A 17427-nucleotide genomic window follows, 5' to 3' on the forward strand; every position below is an offset into this window, starting at 1 on the left:
CACACAGAAAGGTGCACAGACCAGGCACAGTGGCTCACAAAATCCCAACACTTTGGGAGGCTGAGACGGGTGGATCACTTGAGCCCAGGAGTTTGAGACCAGCCGGGGCAAAGTGGGGAAACCCCGACTCTACAAAAAATTAGCCAAGTGTGGTGGTGTGCGCCTGTGGTCCCAGCTACTCAAGGGGCTGAGCTGGGAGGATCTCCTGAGCCTGGGAGGTTGAGGCTGCAGTGAGCCATGATTGCACCTCTATACTCCAGCCTGGGTGACAGAATGAGACCCTGTCTCAAAAAGAAAAAAGAAACAGAACATTCCCTGCTACCCAGAAACATCCCTTGTACCCATTCTAGTCCATGTCTAATCCACCCTACCCTGCCAGCAACATAACCATTCTCCTGCCTCCGAACTACACAGGCTTGATTTGCCAGTTTCTGTTTCTTACGTAAATGGAATCGTACAGTGTGTGTGCCCTTGCACTGGGCTGGTTTTGTTCCACATTGCATTTGTAAGATTTATCAATATTGTTTGTTGTGGTAGTTGATTCATGCTCGTGGCCACACCGTAGTATTCCATTGGGTGAGTAGATCACAAATGTATTTATCCATTCTCCTGTTAATGGGCATTTGGGTTGTTTCCAGTCTGGGGCTATTATGAATACTGCTTCTATGAACATTCCAGACCAGCGCTTCTCAAACGTTAATGTACTCATGAATCACCTAGAGAACTTGTTAAAATCAAGATCCTGATTCAGTAGGTCTGAGTGTTTGCATTGCTCTTAGGTTCTCGGGTGATGCCGACGCTGCTGGCCTGTGACCATACTTTGAAGACTGGGGCTGTATTTTGGTGAACATATTTCTCTGGGGTAGGTACCCAGGGGTGGCATTGCTGGAGCACGGGGAGGCATATGTTTAGCTTTAGTAGACGCTGCAAGTAGTTTTCCCAGATACTGACACTTCCTCCAGCCCTGTATGAGGTTCCAGTTGATCCACATCCTTGTCAACACTTGGTATTATCTGTCTTCCCTTGTAGCCATTCTGGTGGGTATGTAGCACTATCTCCTTGTGGCTTAAATTTTCATTTCCTTGGTGACAGATGAGGTTAAGCATCTTTTCGTGTGTTCATTGACTGTTGGGATCTCCTCTTATGTGAGGCACTGATTTCAGTCTCTGGCCCATTTTTCTATTTGATCATCTCTTCCTTACTGAATTTTTAGGAGTGCTTGATTCTGCACACATCAGATAAACTGTACATTCCTTCTCTCTCTCTGTGGCCTTGCCTTTGCGCTTTTATTGCACTTGTTCTTTTTAATGCAACAATTACTGCTCAGGACTCGGGAGTAGGGTGCAGAGGTTCCCATTTTGCCCGTCCTAACCAGATTACAGTATGTTGCTGGTGGGATTATCTTTCAGCTAGTTATTCACGCACACACCCCACACTCTTGTTCCTGACCTTTCTCAGGGAGACATCTCCCCAAATTCATGAACATTCCTCCACCTAGCCTGGCCCCACTATCTAAGCTGCTCAAGCCAGGGTGTCCACTTAACCATGGTCTTCCTTTTGCATTTTCCCACCTCTTGATGCTTTTTGACTATGAGATGAGTTCATCTTTCCTGGACATCCAGAGAGACGCCTGGCATTTTTAGCTGATCAATAGACCCTTTGTGGCCTAACAGAGACACACCTGAAGGTGGTTGGTCCCAGATGCGAGGAGCAAAGGCAAAAGAGAGGCAGGTGGGCATCTGCCTCTATGTGTAGCTTGTGCAAGATTGATTTCATTCTTGATCAGTGAAGATCTCTCACTGTTGGGTCTGCTGCTACCCCAAAGCTGAATGCCCCGGCTTTTAATCTGTGTGCGTTGACTCCTGCCATGAAACTGACACCCTCCAAGGACCCTCCTCACACTCACCTCCTGTTCGATGCTGGTCTCCAGCCACCTTCACTCCTGACCCAGCAGCTGAGCACAGCCGACCTGCTCGCAGATCCAGCACGCCAGGAGGGTCCTGCTGTCCAGCTTCCCACGGGACTCCACCCCCTGGCATCCCTTGAGGACAAACAGTAGAGGGGCAAAACTTGGAGCCTCCAAAGCCCCTCTGCAGGGGCTGGATCTGCAGCTACGCCACTCACAGATCTTGTGTACCAGGCAAGTGCTAACCTGTCTGAGCCTCAGTTTTCCCATGTATAAAATGGGGATAATGGTGGTACTCAACTGGTAGAGCTGCAGAGGGGGTGAAATGAAGTTTCACGGGTAAAGTGCTAAGAACGTGCCTGGCCCACAGGGGTCATTGTGTGGCTGTCTACCACTATTATTGTTCTTATTCTTTTATTATTTATTTATTTATTTATTTATTTATTTATTTATTTATTTTGAGACAGAGTCTTGCTCTGTCACCCAGGCTAGAGTGCAGTAGCATGATCTCAGCTCACTGCAACCTCCATCTCCTGCGTTCAAGCAATCCTCCTGCCTCAGCTTCCGGAGTAGCTGAGATTACAGGCACACGCCACCACGCCAGCTAATTTTTGTATTTTTAGCAGAGACGGGGTTTCACCATGTTGGCCAGGCTGCAGAACCTGACCTCAAGTGATCTGCCTACCTTGGCCCCCCAAAGTGTCGGGATTACAGGCGTGAGCCCCCATACCCAGCCCTGCCACTGTTATTCTTATGACTGGTCTGCCCGTGCCCAGGTTCTCTCCACCTGCCTTCTCCCATCTCATACCTGCTGATATCCACTGTGCCTTCTCCCACTTCCAGGCCTTTGGACCTGCTGTTCCTCTTGCCTGGAGTGTGCTTTCCTCTGTTCTCCACCTGGGGACCCCCCCACTTTGTTCATGCCCAGAGGCCAGTGTCACCCCACCTCCTTCGGGGCACCTCCCTGACCCCTGGTACTGGTGCTCTGAGCTTGCCAGTGGGATGGATGGTTGGTCTTCAGGTTGTGGGGAGCAGGAGTCAGTCTCTCATGATGCTTATAAGGGAGGATATTTATTGAGCACTTACTGCATACCAGTTTAATTATGGGGGCTTTTTATTGAGCACCTTATCTTGGTCTTACTAACACCCTGTGACCACCAGCAATAGAGGCCCACGCATGCAAAGCCCCAGGTTCTGCAGTGAGAAGGTGGCTGAGGGGATTATTATTATTTGTTTATTTATTTATTTATTTTTGGAGATGGAGTCTTACTCAGTCACCTAGGTTGGAGTGCAGTGGTGTGATCTCGGCTTACTACAACCTCTGCCTTCTGGGTTCAAGTGATTCTTCTGCCTCAGCCTCCTGAGTAGCTAGGACTACAAGCACACACCACCGACGCCCAGCTGATTTTTTTGTATTTTTAGTAGAGATGGGGTTTCGCCATGTTGGCCAGGCTGGTCTCGAACTCCTGACCTCAAGTGATCCTCCCACCTCAGCCTCTCAAAGTGCTGGGATTACAGGCGTCAGCCACTGCACCCTGATGGCTGAGGGGATTTGAACCCAGCCCTGCTCCTCCAGCCCTTTCTTTTCCCCGAGAACTACATAACCTGCCTTCCAGCTCATGCCTTTTTCCTGCTTTCACTAGATCTTCATCAGGTGTGGCTGCTAATAACCCCTGCTGGCTGCTCTCTTCCCCCACCAGGAACCCTAGGAAAGGAGAACTTGTCTGTCCAGTTCATCATCGCAGCCCACCCGGGGTCTGACACAGAGAAGGACCCAAAAAGTCCTGGTTAAGTCAGCAGCTCTCAGGGTGTGGGTCAGTGACCCCTGGATGTCCTGAGACCTTTTCCTTGGGGTTTGCAAGATCAAATTACTTTCGTAACAATACTAAGCTGCTACTTGCCCTTTTTACTCATATTCTTTCACAAACACATGGTGGAATTTTCCAGAAGCTATCCAAGGTGTGATGACATCATCGTTCCTATGGCTAATAGCGTGTGTGTTTGTGTATCTTTGTGCTTTAAACATGTCTCAGTTTTAATTTTGAATATGATGACTATTGATTGCTGTGACCTACCCAGACAAAGCCCTTTAGGTTCCTCCATCATTTTTAAGCACCTAAAAGGGTCCCAAGACACAAAAGTTTTGAGAGCCACTGTGTTCAATGAATAAATGAATGAGTTGGGTGAAGGAAAGAGTGAATGGAGTGTGAGCCAAGGCATTTGGACCTGGCTTGTCTTTAAGGGTTGGTGGTCAGGGTGGCGGAAAATGGATTCAAGGGAGGAAAGAGCGACACAGGAGTCCAGGAGAGAGGGAGACGTGGAATTACCCAAATCCCACCTGCCTGACTGCGCCCCATAGCCCTGATTAGTCCCTCCAAATACCCTCTGACCTGGCACAAGCATCCCCGGCACAGCCGGCGGCTGACTGTTCTGAGGTGTTTTCTACAGCAAAACAATTTGAAATAATTAGAACTTTACAAAATGTCTTTAAACACGCTGGTAATGGGCATAAGAAAACACTTGTGAAGTGTAATCAGTTATTAGCAGCTGATCAATTATCCTCATGGATAGCTGTTGGGGGGGAGAAAAGAAGCAATAATAAGCCCCTTGATTAACTAATTTGAATATCTTTGGGGAACAAATTCTGAAATTTCTTTCTATTTTCTCCCTCGCTATTGTAATTGTAACGCCGGCCGCACATCTGCTGGATAAAGACGGATGGAAATGGTAATGAGTGTTCTGCTGTGAACAGGCCCCTTGTTCGGGATCCAGGAATGAAGGCGCTGGAGGTGTGGGGGCTGCGGGGGCTGCCGGCTGGGCCTGGGGACCTCTCACTGGCTGGAGTGGGCAGCACTGCCATGGGCTTGGCCTCCGCCTCCTGATGAGATGTCAAGGTCGGGGGAAGCCGGCTGCGATGGGCAAAGGGCATGCGCAGACAGGTGCCCCTCTGGGAAACATTACAGATTCTCCTGAAGACCCTCTAGGGCCAGCTGGGATGGAGACAGTCTGTCCCAGGATGGAGCAGACAGTGAAGGAAACCAACATTCTGGATGCCAAGGTTGGGCTCCTCCGCAACCTTGCTGGGTGATAGGCTTACAAAAGGCAGGGGTGACTCAGCTGGACAGCATTAAGGACCTCCACATTCCTGCGGGGTCTTTGGTCTCACAGTGCAACATGAACATATCACACCGGTGGCCACCTGGGTAGCAGTAGCCTTGTCACTAAAGCGAATCTCTAGAGCCAGACTCTTTGTCTTGAATCCAGCTCTGCCCCCTCAGCTGTGTGACCTTAGGCAAGTGACTTAACCTCTCTGTGCCTCAGCGGTGCTCATCAGCGAAACAGGAATAATAACAGCACCCCCCTCCTGGGGTTCTTGTAGCACAGGGCCACGCACGTGATAAGCACAAAATAAATGGAAGCCGTCACTGTTATTATTCTCTCCATCCTGCATAATTAACAGGCTAGACCCGAGTTTGCAAACTGGCAGGCCGGGGTCCAACTCCCCAGTAAATCTGTTTTGTTTGGCACAAACTGCATTGTTAAAATTTTTGTCTGAACTTGTTGCCAGTGATTACAGTTCAGGAGATTTTCACATCAAAAATCTGGATTTGGGGCCTTTCTGGAGAACTAGACTCCCGACCCTGCTGGGCCCACAGTTCCATGCAGCACCGATCGGCCAGAGCTGAGCATTGCAGCCTCCTGTAGCAGGGACGCTGGTCTTTCCTTTGCCATGTCCCCATCCCACCCAGTCATTCCAGGGCATCACCTCGTGGGCCCCTGCCCTCACCTGTAAGCCCCAGGAGGTCAACTGGGAACAGGTCACCTCGGTCCCTGATGTACCCGGTGCCCGTCACACAGCAGGTGCTTAAAGCATATTTGAATGAGCGTGTCTTCAGACGAGAGGCTGATTACATGAGCAGATCCAGTTCGCGAGCAGCCCCAGAGCCTGGGTGGTCTTGCCTGAGCGAGGCAGCAAACTCCAGCCTTGGTTGTGTCTATCTGGGGACCCCCAGCTGTCCAGCTCCTGTACCACCCAGTGGCCATCAGAAGAAAGTCCTGCTGCCTGTGAACTCCCATCTCCCTCTCCCCAACCCTACAGGAGATGTTCTGGAGACCCACATGCGGGGGTGTCAAACTCCTATCCCTTAAGCAGCAGATCTGAGGCCCAAAGTGCACCAGAGAAGCCACAAACAGCCCCGTGGCCAGCCAGCACCTGCAGTCACTGGTCCACGTTCCTCTCATTCAGACAAGGCCTTTTCTGTATTTTGTTTGAAGCTGTTCAAAAAAGAGCATGTGAAACCACTTTTAAAATCCCTCCCTCCCTTTCCTGCCCAACGCACCTTTTTTTCCCTCCCCTGACTGTTCCATCGCTTAAAAATGGCTTAACCAATTTGGGTTATTTTTAGAAAAATGCTGGTATGTTGGCTGACAACCTATATTCTAAGTTTCAACCTGATATGGAAAAGACAGAGTTTATAAACCCCTAGGAGAAAAAAAAAAGAAACACAAAACATTGCTTTAGAATAGAAATCATCTGAAACTGACCCCATGGGTCCCGGCCAGCGGGGCATCACTGGGCACCAGCCTCCGGTGTGAGATTTCAAGGGTACAGAATGAAATTGGTTCTTGCAAGCTTCTGCCAACATCGCTGGGAGAACTGGGTGGAGCATCTTGTGGACTGACAGACACGAGTTGGAACCCTGGTTCTTCCACGCTCTGTCCTTGAGCTGGGGAAGCGCCTTCCCTGAGCCCTTGGGTCTGCCATCTGTGACATGGGGATACTGGTAATCACCGTAGCTAGGGACACAGAGCCCAACACTAAGGACTTGTCCATAATGTTTGTTATAATCTTGATGGACCAATGCAAAGACAAGGCTCTCAAAGCCAGCACAAGCCTTATGAATATGAGGAGTGGCTGCTAAGCCTAGCTTCCCCTACCTCCTCATTTCTTTTTTTTCCAGCAGCTTTATTGAGATATAATTGATATGCCATGAAATTCACCTATTATACATGTACAACACAATCGATTTAGTATATTTATGGAGTTGTACAACCATCACCACATCCAGTTTTAAAACATTTCTGTCACCCCAAAAAAGATCTTTTGGGTCCTTTTCCAGTCACTGTCTGATCCCACTCCCAGCCCCAGGAAACCACAAATCTATTTGCTGTATCCATAGATTTGCCTTTTCTGGTCGTTTCGTACAAATGGGATTATACAATCTGTGGTCTTTGTATCAGCTTCTTACATTAGGTATAATGTTTCCAAGGTTTGCCCATGTGGTAACATGTATGAGTATTTTGTTCTCTTGATTGCTAAATAATATTCCATTGTATGGATAGACCACGTTTTATCCGTTCATCGGTTGATGGGCATGTGGGTTGTTTGTACTTTTTGGCTGTTGTGAATAGCACTGCTGTGAAAGTTTGCACGCAGATCTTTGAACACATGTTTTCGATTCTCTTGGGTAGAGGAGTGGAATTGCTGGGTCATAAGATACATTTATGTCTAACTTATTAAGAAACTGCCAAACTGTTTTTCTGAAGTGGCTGTACCATGTTGCATTCCCACCAGCAGTATCTGGGCTTAGTATTGTCTTTGTTGATATTTGAGGTTGCATTTTTGGTCCCTGGTTTCAATGAGAATTTGGGCTGGGAATTCTGGGAGCCACTGGAGCTTGAAGAAATGAATGGCAGGTGGGGGGCATACAACAAAATCGCACATCCTCAGGTGTTCTAAAACAGCACTGTCCCATAGAACATGTAGATGATATATATCTGAACCATCCTGTACGGTAGCCACTACCCGTTGTGGTTACTGAGCACATGACTATGGCTTGTGCAACCGAGGAACTGAATTTGTGATTGCATTTCATTTAAATTAACGTAGAAGTACTAAATTTAAATAACTACAGGAGGCTAGTGGCTGCTGTATTGGACAGTGCAGTTCTAGAAGTTCAGGATCACCACTCAGTATGTTCTGGGTCCTTGAATCTTTCAGAGGATTGAGCAGAGTTCAAACCTTTTAATCATACATAGCTGGAATAGGCGTGGGGCTCAGGGACTAGGGGCTGCATGTACAGGAATATTGTGTCTAGATGGTGCTCAGTGACTCAGAGAAGAGGGGATTTAAATTGGGGCATCTTGTAGAGGCACTAAAAGAGAGTGGACGGGCTCTGGAGCTAGGAGGACCCAGGTGCAAATCCTAGCCCTGTTGCTTCCCAAGCCTGAGACCTGGGGCAACTGACCTATTCCCTCCTAGCCTCAGTTTTCTCATCTGCAAAATGGAAGTACTAATATCTCTCTCGAAGGACTGCTGTGAGGCTCAGAGAATAATTCCTCTAAATCCCCTAGCTCAGTGCCTACCACTTAGTCAGTGTGGGAAAGGATCAGCTTCTGTTATTGTTATCTTTATTGTTGGTACTATTCTGCCTGGCCCCCAGGACTGGATCAATGCCATGTCAGCCCAGAATCCCATCCTCATCCGTGAAAGCTGGGATGTTAGACTGTCAGCATCACACAGGCAGGGACTTTGCGGTGGCCACTGTTGGATCCCCAGTGCCTGGAACAGTGCCTGGCACAGAGGGGATGCTCCTTACATGTTTGTTGAATGAATAAATGCGTACATGCTACTGGCTTGTTGGCAAGCAGCGTGTAGGCATCTTGAGGGTTCCTGGAGAAAACAACACCCTCCTTCAGAAATGTGACTTGAAAAATAGCACTGGGTTCAATGCCAGTGGCGGCCTGTCTTGAGTGAAGGCAGAGACAGCTTCCCTGTCCTTAAATGGCTTCATCCAGCTGGAGCGTGGCTGTGGCTCAGGCCAGTCTAAGGTCATCCAAGGCGGGTGGTAGAATGGGTGAGGCTTGGCCAGGTCAGATCCACCTCCCACCACCAGGGAGCCATAGGAGAGGTTCACACAGTGAAATAACACAGCCCCAAAATGTGCATGGGTTTACATACAGGTAATTCTCCCAGGCCCTAAAACATCAGGATGTGCTCACTTTTCCCACAGCAGTGCCCCCACTCAAGCCTGTTTGGGGGAACCCAGTGGTTTCATCCCTTTCATCTGGAATTTCCTGCTACCCTCACTTCTTTCTTCCCTTTCTTGCTGCTGTTCTTGATCTCTCCTTCCCCACCCTGGACCCTAAAGTGAGATATTTCCATTCTTCCAGAATTATAATTTTTTTGTTTTATTTATGTGAAATATTCTTTAGTTATCAAAATCTTTTCATACTCATTATTGTCATTCCGTGGGCAGAGAAACTTGGTGAGGTGAATATTCATTTAAAAATTGTCTATTAAGGCCAGGTGCGGGTGGCTCATGCCTGTAAGCCCAGCATTTTGGGAGGCCGAGGTGGATAGATCACTTGAGTTCGGGAGTTTGAGACCAGCCTGGCTAACATGGCAAAACCCCATCTCTACTGTAATACAAAAATTAGCCGGGTGTGGTGGTGAACACCTGTAATCCTAGCTACTCAGGAGGCTGAGGTGGGAGAATCGCTTGAACCTGGGAAGCGGAGGTTGCAGTGAGCCGAGATTGTGCCACTGCACTCCAACCTGAGGTACAGAGTGAGACCCTGTCTCAAAAAAAAAAAAAAAAGTGTCTATTGGGTTTGGACCAGGCACTGGCCTAGATGCTGGAGCTATGGAGGTGAACAAAACAGACAAGAGTCCCTGCCCTCCCGGAGCTTTAGTCCTAGGAAGGAGGCTGATATTAAATATGCAGATAACTATCTTTGCAAATGATGTTGAATGCCCTGTGGAAAAGGAGGAAGGAGAAAGTGGATCTGCTTTAGAGGCAGGGGTGCCAGTGGGGCCAGCGAGGGCCCTGCTGAGAAGGTGGCAGCACTGGGGGGGATGGGGAGGGATTGCAGGCTGCAGGTACTGCACATGCAAATGCCCTGAGGTGAGAAAGAGGCTGGCTCATCGGAGGCCCAGGAGCAGCAGGTGTAGCTGGAGTGCATAGAGTTGGGCAGAGAGGGGCCCCCCTAAGGTATAGGAAGCTGTGAGCAGTAGCCTGGCCCTCTAGGCCCAGTGAGAAGTCTGATTTCAATCTAAGACCATGGCAAAAATCATGGACAAGTTTCAAGCCAAGGAAAGAGAAGAGATGATTCACGTTTTGAGCGACTCACTCCATCCACCATGTGGAAAATGCAGGCAAGGGTGGGTGCGGAGAGAGAAGGGAGGAGGCCTCGGAAATAATCCAGGCAGGGGAGGGTAGCAGCTTGGACAAAGGCGGCAGTGGGAGTGGGTATTATTTCTGGACGTTGGCGGGATTGAAGAGACGTGGCTGGGATTCGTTCAACATCACTATTATTCTAGTGGTACAAGTGAGGACACTGAAGCTCGGAGAGGCACGCTGACTTGCCCTGGGGTTAGAGCTAGCAAGAGCAGCAAGCAGGATTCGAACTCGGGCTTTCCTGGTGCTGGAATCTGCATTCTGTACTTCAGTACTACTCTGGGCAGCTCAGTGTGGTATCCAGCCCCATCTCTCTAGCTGAAATGATGCCCACAAACATTATCCCCATTGCGCAGATTAGGAAACAGACTCAGGCGTTAGGATTTCCTGGCTGGAGAACACCAAAGACAGGATTTGAACCCAGCCCACACACCTAAGTTGGGAATGTGCGTGCCCTGCATCCTGGGCCTCTTCAGGCTCTGCAGAAACAAAGGGAATGAGATGGGTGGAGAGAAGGTCACGGATCCACAGGCCCTGGTCTAGGGCAGGCCGGTCTGTCATGCTCAGGTTTTCTCTTAGTCAATAGAGTAAGAACTCAATTCTGCTGAGACGTCTGGGTGCATCTGTGTATGTGTGTGTCTCCATGTGAACGTGTCTGTCTGTGGTATGTGTCTCTGTGTCCCGGCGTCCCTGTATCTATGTTTGTACGTGTGTTTCTGTGTGTTTGTGTGTTACATGTATGGATCTCTGTGTGTCTGTGTGTATGTATGTGTCTGTGTGTGCATTTATGTGTCTGTGTGTATTTATGTCTCGTGTGTCTGTGTGTCCATCTACAGTCACAGAGGAAAAAGCCCGCAGGAAGGCTCTTTTCTACAGCACTCTGTTTGCGTGCTGCGTGGTACCCTGCTCTTCGGTTTTTCACAGATGAACATGCATTACTGTACTGTTAGAATCAGGAGGGGAGGTGAACAGAGATAAAAGTCTCCTCGGGTTGCGGGGGAGAGAGCATTTGGAGAGAAAGCTTTTGCCTGTGTTGTTTTGGGAAGTGGCTTTTTATGGTTTGGGGAGAGGAGAGGACACCCCCTCTTGCAGCAAGGATCCGAGCCCTGTCTTTGAACTCTCCCACAGCTGGATCTGCACCTGCCCTGTGTAGCTGTCCCTGGCCATACCTTTATTTACAGGGGAGGCAGTTGGGGGTCTCGGGTGCAGCTTCAGGTAATTAAAGTCAGCTGGATAGGCATTTCACATTCATGTTGATAATAAGCACTTTAATAAAATGTAGAAAGATAAAATGGGATTTTTTTTTTAGGTTGTGTTTTTCTTTCCCTCCCTCCCCCATTCTTTCCTTTCTGGAAGTGGCAAGAACTGTATCTCAGGACCCCGTACAGCTTGATGTGAAATACACCCGGGACAGGGAACGGCTACTTGGACACTGTTTGTGGAGTGCTGGGGGGAGGCTAGGATGGGAGCTTCTGTCGTGGGGTCATCTGGGAAGCAGGAGCCTCATGGCAGACTCTCGGGTAACCCTACCTGGCCAGCCCCCATTCAATCCAGGCCTCCCTCCCGGAGGTGTCGTCACTTGGCTCAGTGTCTTCAGACCCCAAAAGAATAGCCATGATGTACGTATAGGATGCAGCCAAATTTGGGGTGTCCCCAGGAGTCAGGAAGTCCAGCAGAATTGGTGGGGGGCAGGAACATTTAGTTCGACCTCTCATTCTCTCTTCCTCCTTATCACCCCTACGAAAATTTTCTCTTTATGAATGCTTCCATCTTCGTGCTTACAAACTAGCCTCCGCGGGGGCATTTATATTAGCAGTGATGCTTCCCATTTGTTTAGGAAGAAATTGCATCTACTGGTTTCTGCTGGGCCTCTCCGTAAACCCTCGAGGCATCCTTGCTCTCATTTAAACAATAGTGGGGCAGGGGGAGGTCAGGCACTCGGCAAAGTCAACAGCAGGCAGGGGACAAGCCTGTGTAGCCCCTGGGCTAAAATGGCTTGTGACCACCCTGGCCGCCCCTCGTTTGAGGGCCTCCCCTCTCAATCTCACCTTCAGCCTCCCTGGCCGGGGCTTCTAGTTGCTGGGAGGCATTGGCTCCTTGCCAGTCCCTGAAATCCATCAGCGCCCTCTCCTGCCTGATGCCTCCACCCACCTTCCCCTCCGCTGGTAGCAGGGGATGGTGTGTCTGCTCTGCCAGCCTCTAGGCTCAGTCTCTTGCCCGCACGGTTCCCTGCAGCTGCCTGGAGGTGGGGGTGGCACCTCTGCTCAGCCAACCCCTCTGGCTCCCAATCGCTTCTTGCCTTGGTCCCACAACTTCCCAACCTAATCCCCACGAGGCTGTAAGATACATCCAGATGGTCACCCATTCCCCAACAGCCTGACGGTTCCAGCCCCACTCATGCCCACAGCTCCCTCCTCCTCTAGTGCCTTCCCCCAGGCCCCACGTGCCCTTAGGCGCAGCTCTCTCCAGGTGTGCTTTTCTTGGGACTACGCCTGCATATTTGTGTGGCAGTCCTCCCCAGTCCTCCCCAGAGCCCAAGGCTCTCGGAACCCTACCCAGCATACAGTGGGCGCTTAATAAATGCTTCCCTACCTGGCACCTTCTCAGCCCTGCACCTGGCACCTTCTCAGCCCTGCATGCCAGAGAATTTTTCCAGAGCTTCCTGAGGTTCCCACAGACTTTCTTCCCACCCCCAGATGCTCCCAACCTTGAAAAAGAGGCTGCTGCAAGAAATGAGTTAGAGAAAAGATGTTGAAAGTGGCAGACTTCAGAGAGGATGCAGTGGTTTGGAGAAGAGTGGACCAGAGTTCAAAGCCCAGCTCTGCTTTTGCCTGATTGTGACCTTGAGGCAGTGACATGATCTCTCAGGGACTCGTTTTCCCAGCTGCAAAAGGAATTATTAGGAACACAGACCTCCCAGAAGATGCAGTGGGCCAAGGCGTTAAAAGTGCCCTCATGCAGTAGGCGTTCAGCTTCTGTGATGTGAGTCATTGCCACTGTGGCCCCTAGCAAAAGCCTGGCATGTAGTAGGTGCTCAGTAAACATTCATTGACGAATGAATGAGTGAATGATCATTTTGTGGGATCCCTTTCCCCTGCCCCCATTTTGCCGGGGGAAGCACTCTCTGGCCTCTCACCCAGTTGGACCAGACGTGTCAGCCCTAAGAGGGGCACAAGGGGTCCCCAGCCCCTCACCTGACACCTGTCAGAGTGGGGGCTATTTTGTTTTCCTGGTGCCCGTGTGGTTTTAAATTCCGAGAACTCCGGAATATAAATCAGCAATCAAGGGCAGGAGGAAGTGATCGGATGTGGCTCTGGTTTTCGGGGCTTGCCGACAAGATAATTAGGCGTTTGATTGGCATCCTCTCTCAAGGACAGCCACCTCCAGGTCCCGCCTGCACAGGAGCAGGCTTGTTTTCCTGCCTGATGCTTGTGGCAGGGGACTGATGGGGGTGACGGGTGGGATTGGGGACCCAGAGTTAGCCAGTCTTTCATCTGTTCATTTGTTCATTCATTAATTCAAAGTATTGAGCACCTAGTGTGTGCCAAGCATCGGGACACAGCAGTGACCCAAACGGACAAAGTCCTTGTGCTTGTGGAGCTGACATTGGAGGGGGCAGGAGGCGGGCAGGGAAAGCAGGCAATAAACAAATGGAGAAGTGACTACATAAATGTGTCAACGGCAAGGGCTTGGGAGAAAAATAAGCAGAGGGCGGCTGAGGTAGAGAGGAGGTGCTTACTGTTTTAAATAGGACGGCAGGACAGGCTTCTGGGAGAAGGTGGTATAAGAGCTAAGCCTCCGAGCAGGTGAGGAAAGAGGGAGCAGCCAGTGCAAAGGCTCCGAGACAGAAACGTGCTTAGTGTGTTCAAGAATCAATAAGGGCTGGGCACCATGGTTCACGACTATAATCCCAGCACTTTGGGATGCCAAGGTGAGCGGATCACTTGAGGTCAGGAGTTAGAGACCAGACTGGCCAATGTGGTGAAACCCCATCTCTACTAAAAATATAAAAATTCGCTGGGCGTGGTGGCACACGCCTGTAATCCTAGCTACTCAGGAGGCTGAGGCAGGAGAATCACTTGAACCCAGGAGGCGGAGGTTGAAGTGAGCCAAGATCATGCCACTGCACTCCAGCCTGGGCAACCGAATGAGACTCTGTCTCAAAAAAAAAAAAAAAAAAAAAAATCAGTAAGGGCCAGGTGCAGTAGTGCACTCCTGTAATCCCAGCACTTCAGGAGGCTGAGCCAGGAAAATCACTTGAGCCCAGGAGTTCAAGACCAGCCTGGGCAACTTAGTGAGACCTTGTCCCTACAAAAAAATAAAAAGTTAGTTGCACGTGGTGGAGCACGCCAGTAGTCCTAGCTACTCAGAAGGCTGAGGTGGGAGGATCGCTTGAGCCCAGAAGGTTGAGGCTGCAGTGAGCTGTGATTGTGCCACTGTACTGCAGCCTGGGTGACAGAGCAAGACTCTCTCTCAAAAAAAAAAAAAAAGAAAAAAAAGAAAAAGTCAAGAAGGACCCATGTGCCTGGAGCAGAGTGGGCCGGAGGGTGTAGAAGGAAGTGAAGCCCAACACGAATCATATGGGACCTTGACTCAGACTCACATGGGAGCCATGGAAGGGTTTTGAGCAGAGGAGGAACAGGATATGAGTTGGGTTTAACAGGATCTCTGTGGCCGCCAAGTGGGGAAGGGGCTGTAGGAGGGTGAAAGTGCCAGTAGAGAGCCCAGTGAGGAGGCTCCTGTGGTCACCTAGGCAGGCAATGACAGTGGCCTGGCCCAGGTGGCAACAGTAGAGAGGAGGAGAAATTGTTAGATCAGGCTGACAAGATTTGCCAATTTACATCAGCCTGATGATACCTAAGGCAGGCGGAGCAGCTGCTGCCTCCCAACTCCCAGGGCCTCAGGGCTGGTGGCAGCCCCAGCCCAAGTGCCAGCCTTGGCCCAAAGCATCCAGCCCTTCCCAGGCACCTCCCATAGCCTGGAACCCCTGCAGTCCACCAGCCTGTCGTCCTGCCAGTCCCCAGAGAGAGGTGATGCCCTGGCTGCATTTTGCAGCAGTGAGAGTCCTAGATACAGAGAGGCCACAGGTCTGCCTAAGCTCACAGAGCTGGCAAGCAAGAAGGTCAGGACCTGAACCTAGTCTGCCTGCCAAATGCTGGCTCTTGGCCTGCCTCAAACTAAAAAACCAACCACTGCCTGGGCTTTCTGGAAGCCTGAGCTACGGAGCTGCCAGGTGGGCCTGATGTCCCACAGTTGTAATTGCCTGTTGTGCTCCCCATGTAACCACATGCTCCATGTGCGCAGGACCTGGGTCTGTCTTGTCCCTGGTAACACTGTAGGCACACAAAAAGTAGTTATTGAGTGGATAGATGGATGGGTGGATGGACAGACAGATGGACCAGGCCTGGTCATGCTCCTGGTCTTCAGGCCACGGCAGACCTTGTAGAGACAGTTTAGGGAAAGATTGTCCTCCAGGGAAACAACCCAGAGGAAAATCAGAAAGTTATAGGTTCGGGTCCCCATGATGGCACTTCCTCGCCGTGTGATGTGGGACGAGTGGCTTTGTCTCTCTGCAGGTACCGTGCATCAGATGACACCTGCATCCTAAGACCCTTCATTGGCTCCCTCAACAGATGTTTCTAGAGAATCCACTGCACTCTAGATGCCACTGGGAGAGGGAAATGAACTTTTGTAGTGCTGGTCATTGTGGACCTAGTCGACAGCCAGCCCTCTATGGGGCAGTTGTTATCCTGCTGTTCTCACAGCACTGGGAGTTTGCTAAGAAGTTGTTGGCAGTCTTTTGGCTCACACACAGGCCTGAGGCTTGGCTCTTTGATCCGAATGTGAACTGTCCATCACCCTGGCCCAGCTGATAGAACGCGGGGAAGCCAGCTTGGCTGGGAACTGTTTCTCATAGGCACCACCCCTTGCCCTGGCCTCGGATAATTGGCCCAATACATCTTGGCATCTGAAATTTACATACGGCGCAGGGAGTGATGGATGGCTCTGGTAACCCGGGCTGTCTCCCAGCCACGGCTCAGTTATCCATCTCGGCGGGCTGCGGAGCCATCCGTCTTGTCTTGTCTTGTCTCCTCACTTATGGCAGGCCGGCGGGTGCCCTCCATCCCGGGTCATCCCCCAGCCCCCTCCCAGAGCTGGCCCTCTGAGGCCCCTCTGAAGGCGACACTCCCAACCTGCCCCGCAGTAGATAGAACAAGTCCCTTTGCTCTGAACATCCCCTGAAGCCCTCCTCAGTGTTTGCCGGCAACTCTGATAGCAAAATCCTGAAGGACCTCCATGGGCCCAAGATGCAGAATAGGACATTTGCTCCCACAAAGTTGTCCCTCCATCCCCCCGCCACAAGGGGCTTCTCATACTTACTCCACTAATAGTCATTCCACAAATATTTATTGAATGCCCACTGTGCACCAGGCGTTGAACTAGAACCCCTGGATAGCTGTGAACAAGAACTGTATCACCCAGTCATGCACACAGCCCCCACCCTTGAGGGACTGTGTGCCATTGGTGGTTGTCAACACTCTGAAGACCCTAGACACCAAGCCAAGCACTTGACCTGCTTACAGTCTGGTTCTCAAGGGGTCCTGACAACCCTATGGGCACGAATTCTTAGCCCCATTTTATAGACACAGAAACGGAGGCTGAGTCACCTATCCAAGGTCACAATGCTAGTGAGGCATCAAAGCCAACGTTTGAACCCAGGTCAGTGGTCTGTGAACCATGTCACTGTTTCCCAGACAGACCGGGCTCTTTAGGGGTCTCTGGCCTTGACACATAGCATTCACTCATTCATTCGACCAACAAACATTTCTAGAATGCCTACTGTGTATCAGGAACTCTTCTAGGCACTGAGGATATCTTGTTCTCATGGAGCTTTCATTTTAGTAAAGAAGTAAAATACACAGTGTATTTGGTAGTGATACATGTTAAGGAGAAGAAAACTCAAGACAAGAACCGGAAGACCAGGACAAGTGTAGTTGGTGCACACCTGTAATCTAAGCACTTTGGGAGGCCAAGGCAGAAGGATTGCTTGAGCCCAGGAGTTTGAGGCCAGCCTGAGCAACATAGCAAGGCCCTGTCTTTACAAAAAATAAATTAGCTGGGTGTGGTGGTTTGCACCCATGGTCCCAGCTACTTGGGAGGCTGAGAAGGGAGCATTGCTTGGGCATGGGAGGTTGAAGCTGCAGTGAGCCAGGATTGTGCCACTGCACGCCAGGCTGGACTACAAAGCAAAACCCTGTCTAAGAAAAAAAAAGTTAAGGGCTTTTGCAACATTCCCATTTCCTCTGCCTGGGTTGCTTGGCTTCTTTATCTGACAGATTC

At 50.3% G+C, this 17427-nt stretch overlaps 1 protein-coding gene and 1 long non-coding RNA gene across 8 annotated transcripts in view, besides 1 other annotated feature; both read left to right on the plus strand.

The window, feature by feature from the left end:
• The window catches only part of CUX2 (cut like homeobox 2), a 316390-nt gene that overhangs the window by 154819 nt on the left and 144144 nt on the right, over positions 1-17427 (plus strand). For 2 of the 7 annotated variants that reach the window (XM_017019081.2, XM_017019080.2), the window contains exon 2: positions 780-862. The exons of the other annotated variants lie outside the window; for them this stretch is intronic. The gene's annotated coding sequence lies outside the window, so the exon portion shown is untranslated. The remainder of the gene's footprint in view (positions 1-779; positions 863-17427) is intronic. 7 annotated transcript variants of the gene reach the window in all.
• LOC124903018 (uncharacterized) lies at positions 249-11383 on the plus strand. The gene is made up of 2 exons (XR_007063461.1): positions 249-1731; positions 1826-11383. It is a non-coding gene; the product is annotated as an uncharacterized LOC124903018 (long non-coding RNA).
• Positions 4277-4787: an enhancer, noted in NCBI's record as "H3K4me1 hESC enhancer chr12:111631064-111631574 (GRCh37/hg19 assembly coordinates)". NCBI's record gives its function as "activates a minimal SCP1, AML or CMV promoter by ChIP-STARR-seq in naive H9 embryonic stem cells {active_cell/tissue: H9 hESC(naive)}" and the evidence as "EXISTENCE:reporter gene assay evidence [ECO:0000049][PMID:30033119]".

Source organism: Homo sapiens, chromosome 12, assembly GCF_000001405.40.
Source record: "Homo sapiens chromosome 12, GRCh38.p14 Primary Assembly".
Classification (NCBI taxonomy): Eukaryota; Metazoa; Chordata; class Mammalia; order Primates; family Hominidae; genus Homo; species Homo sapiens.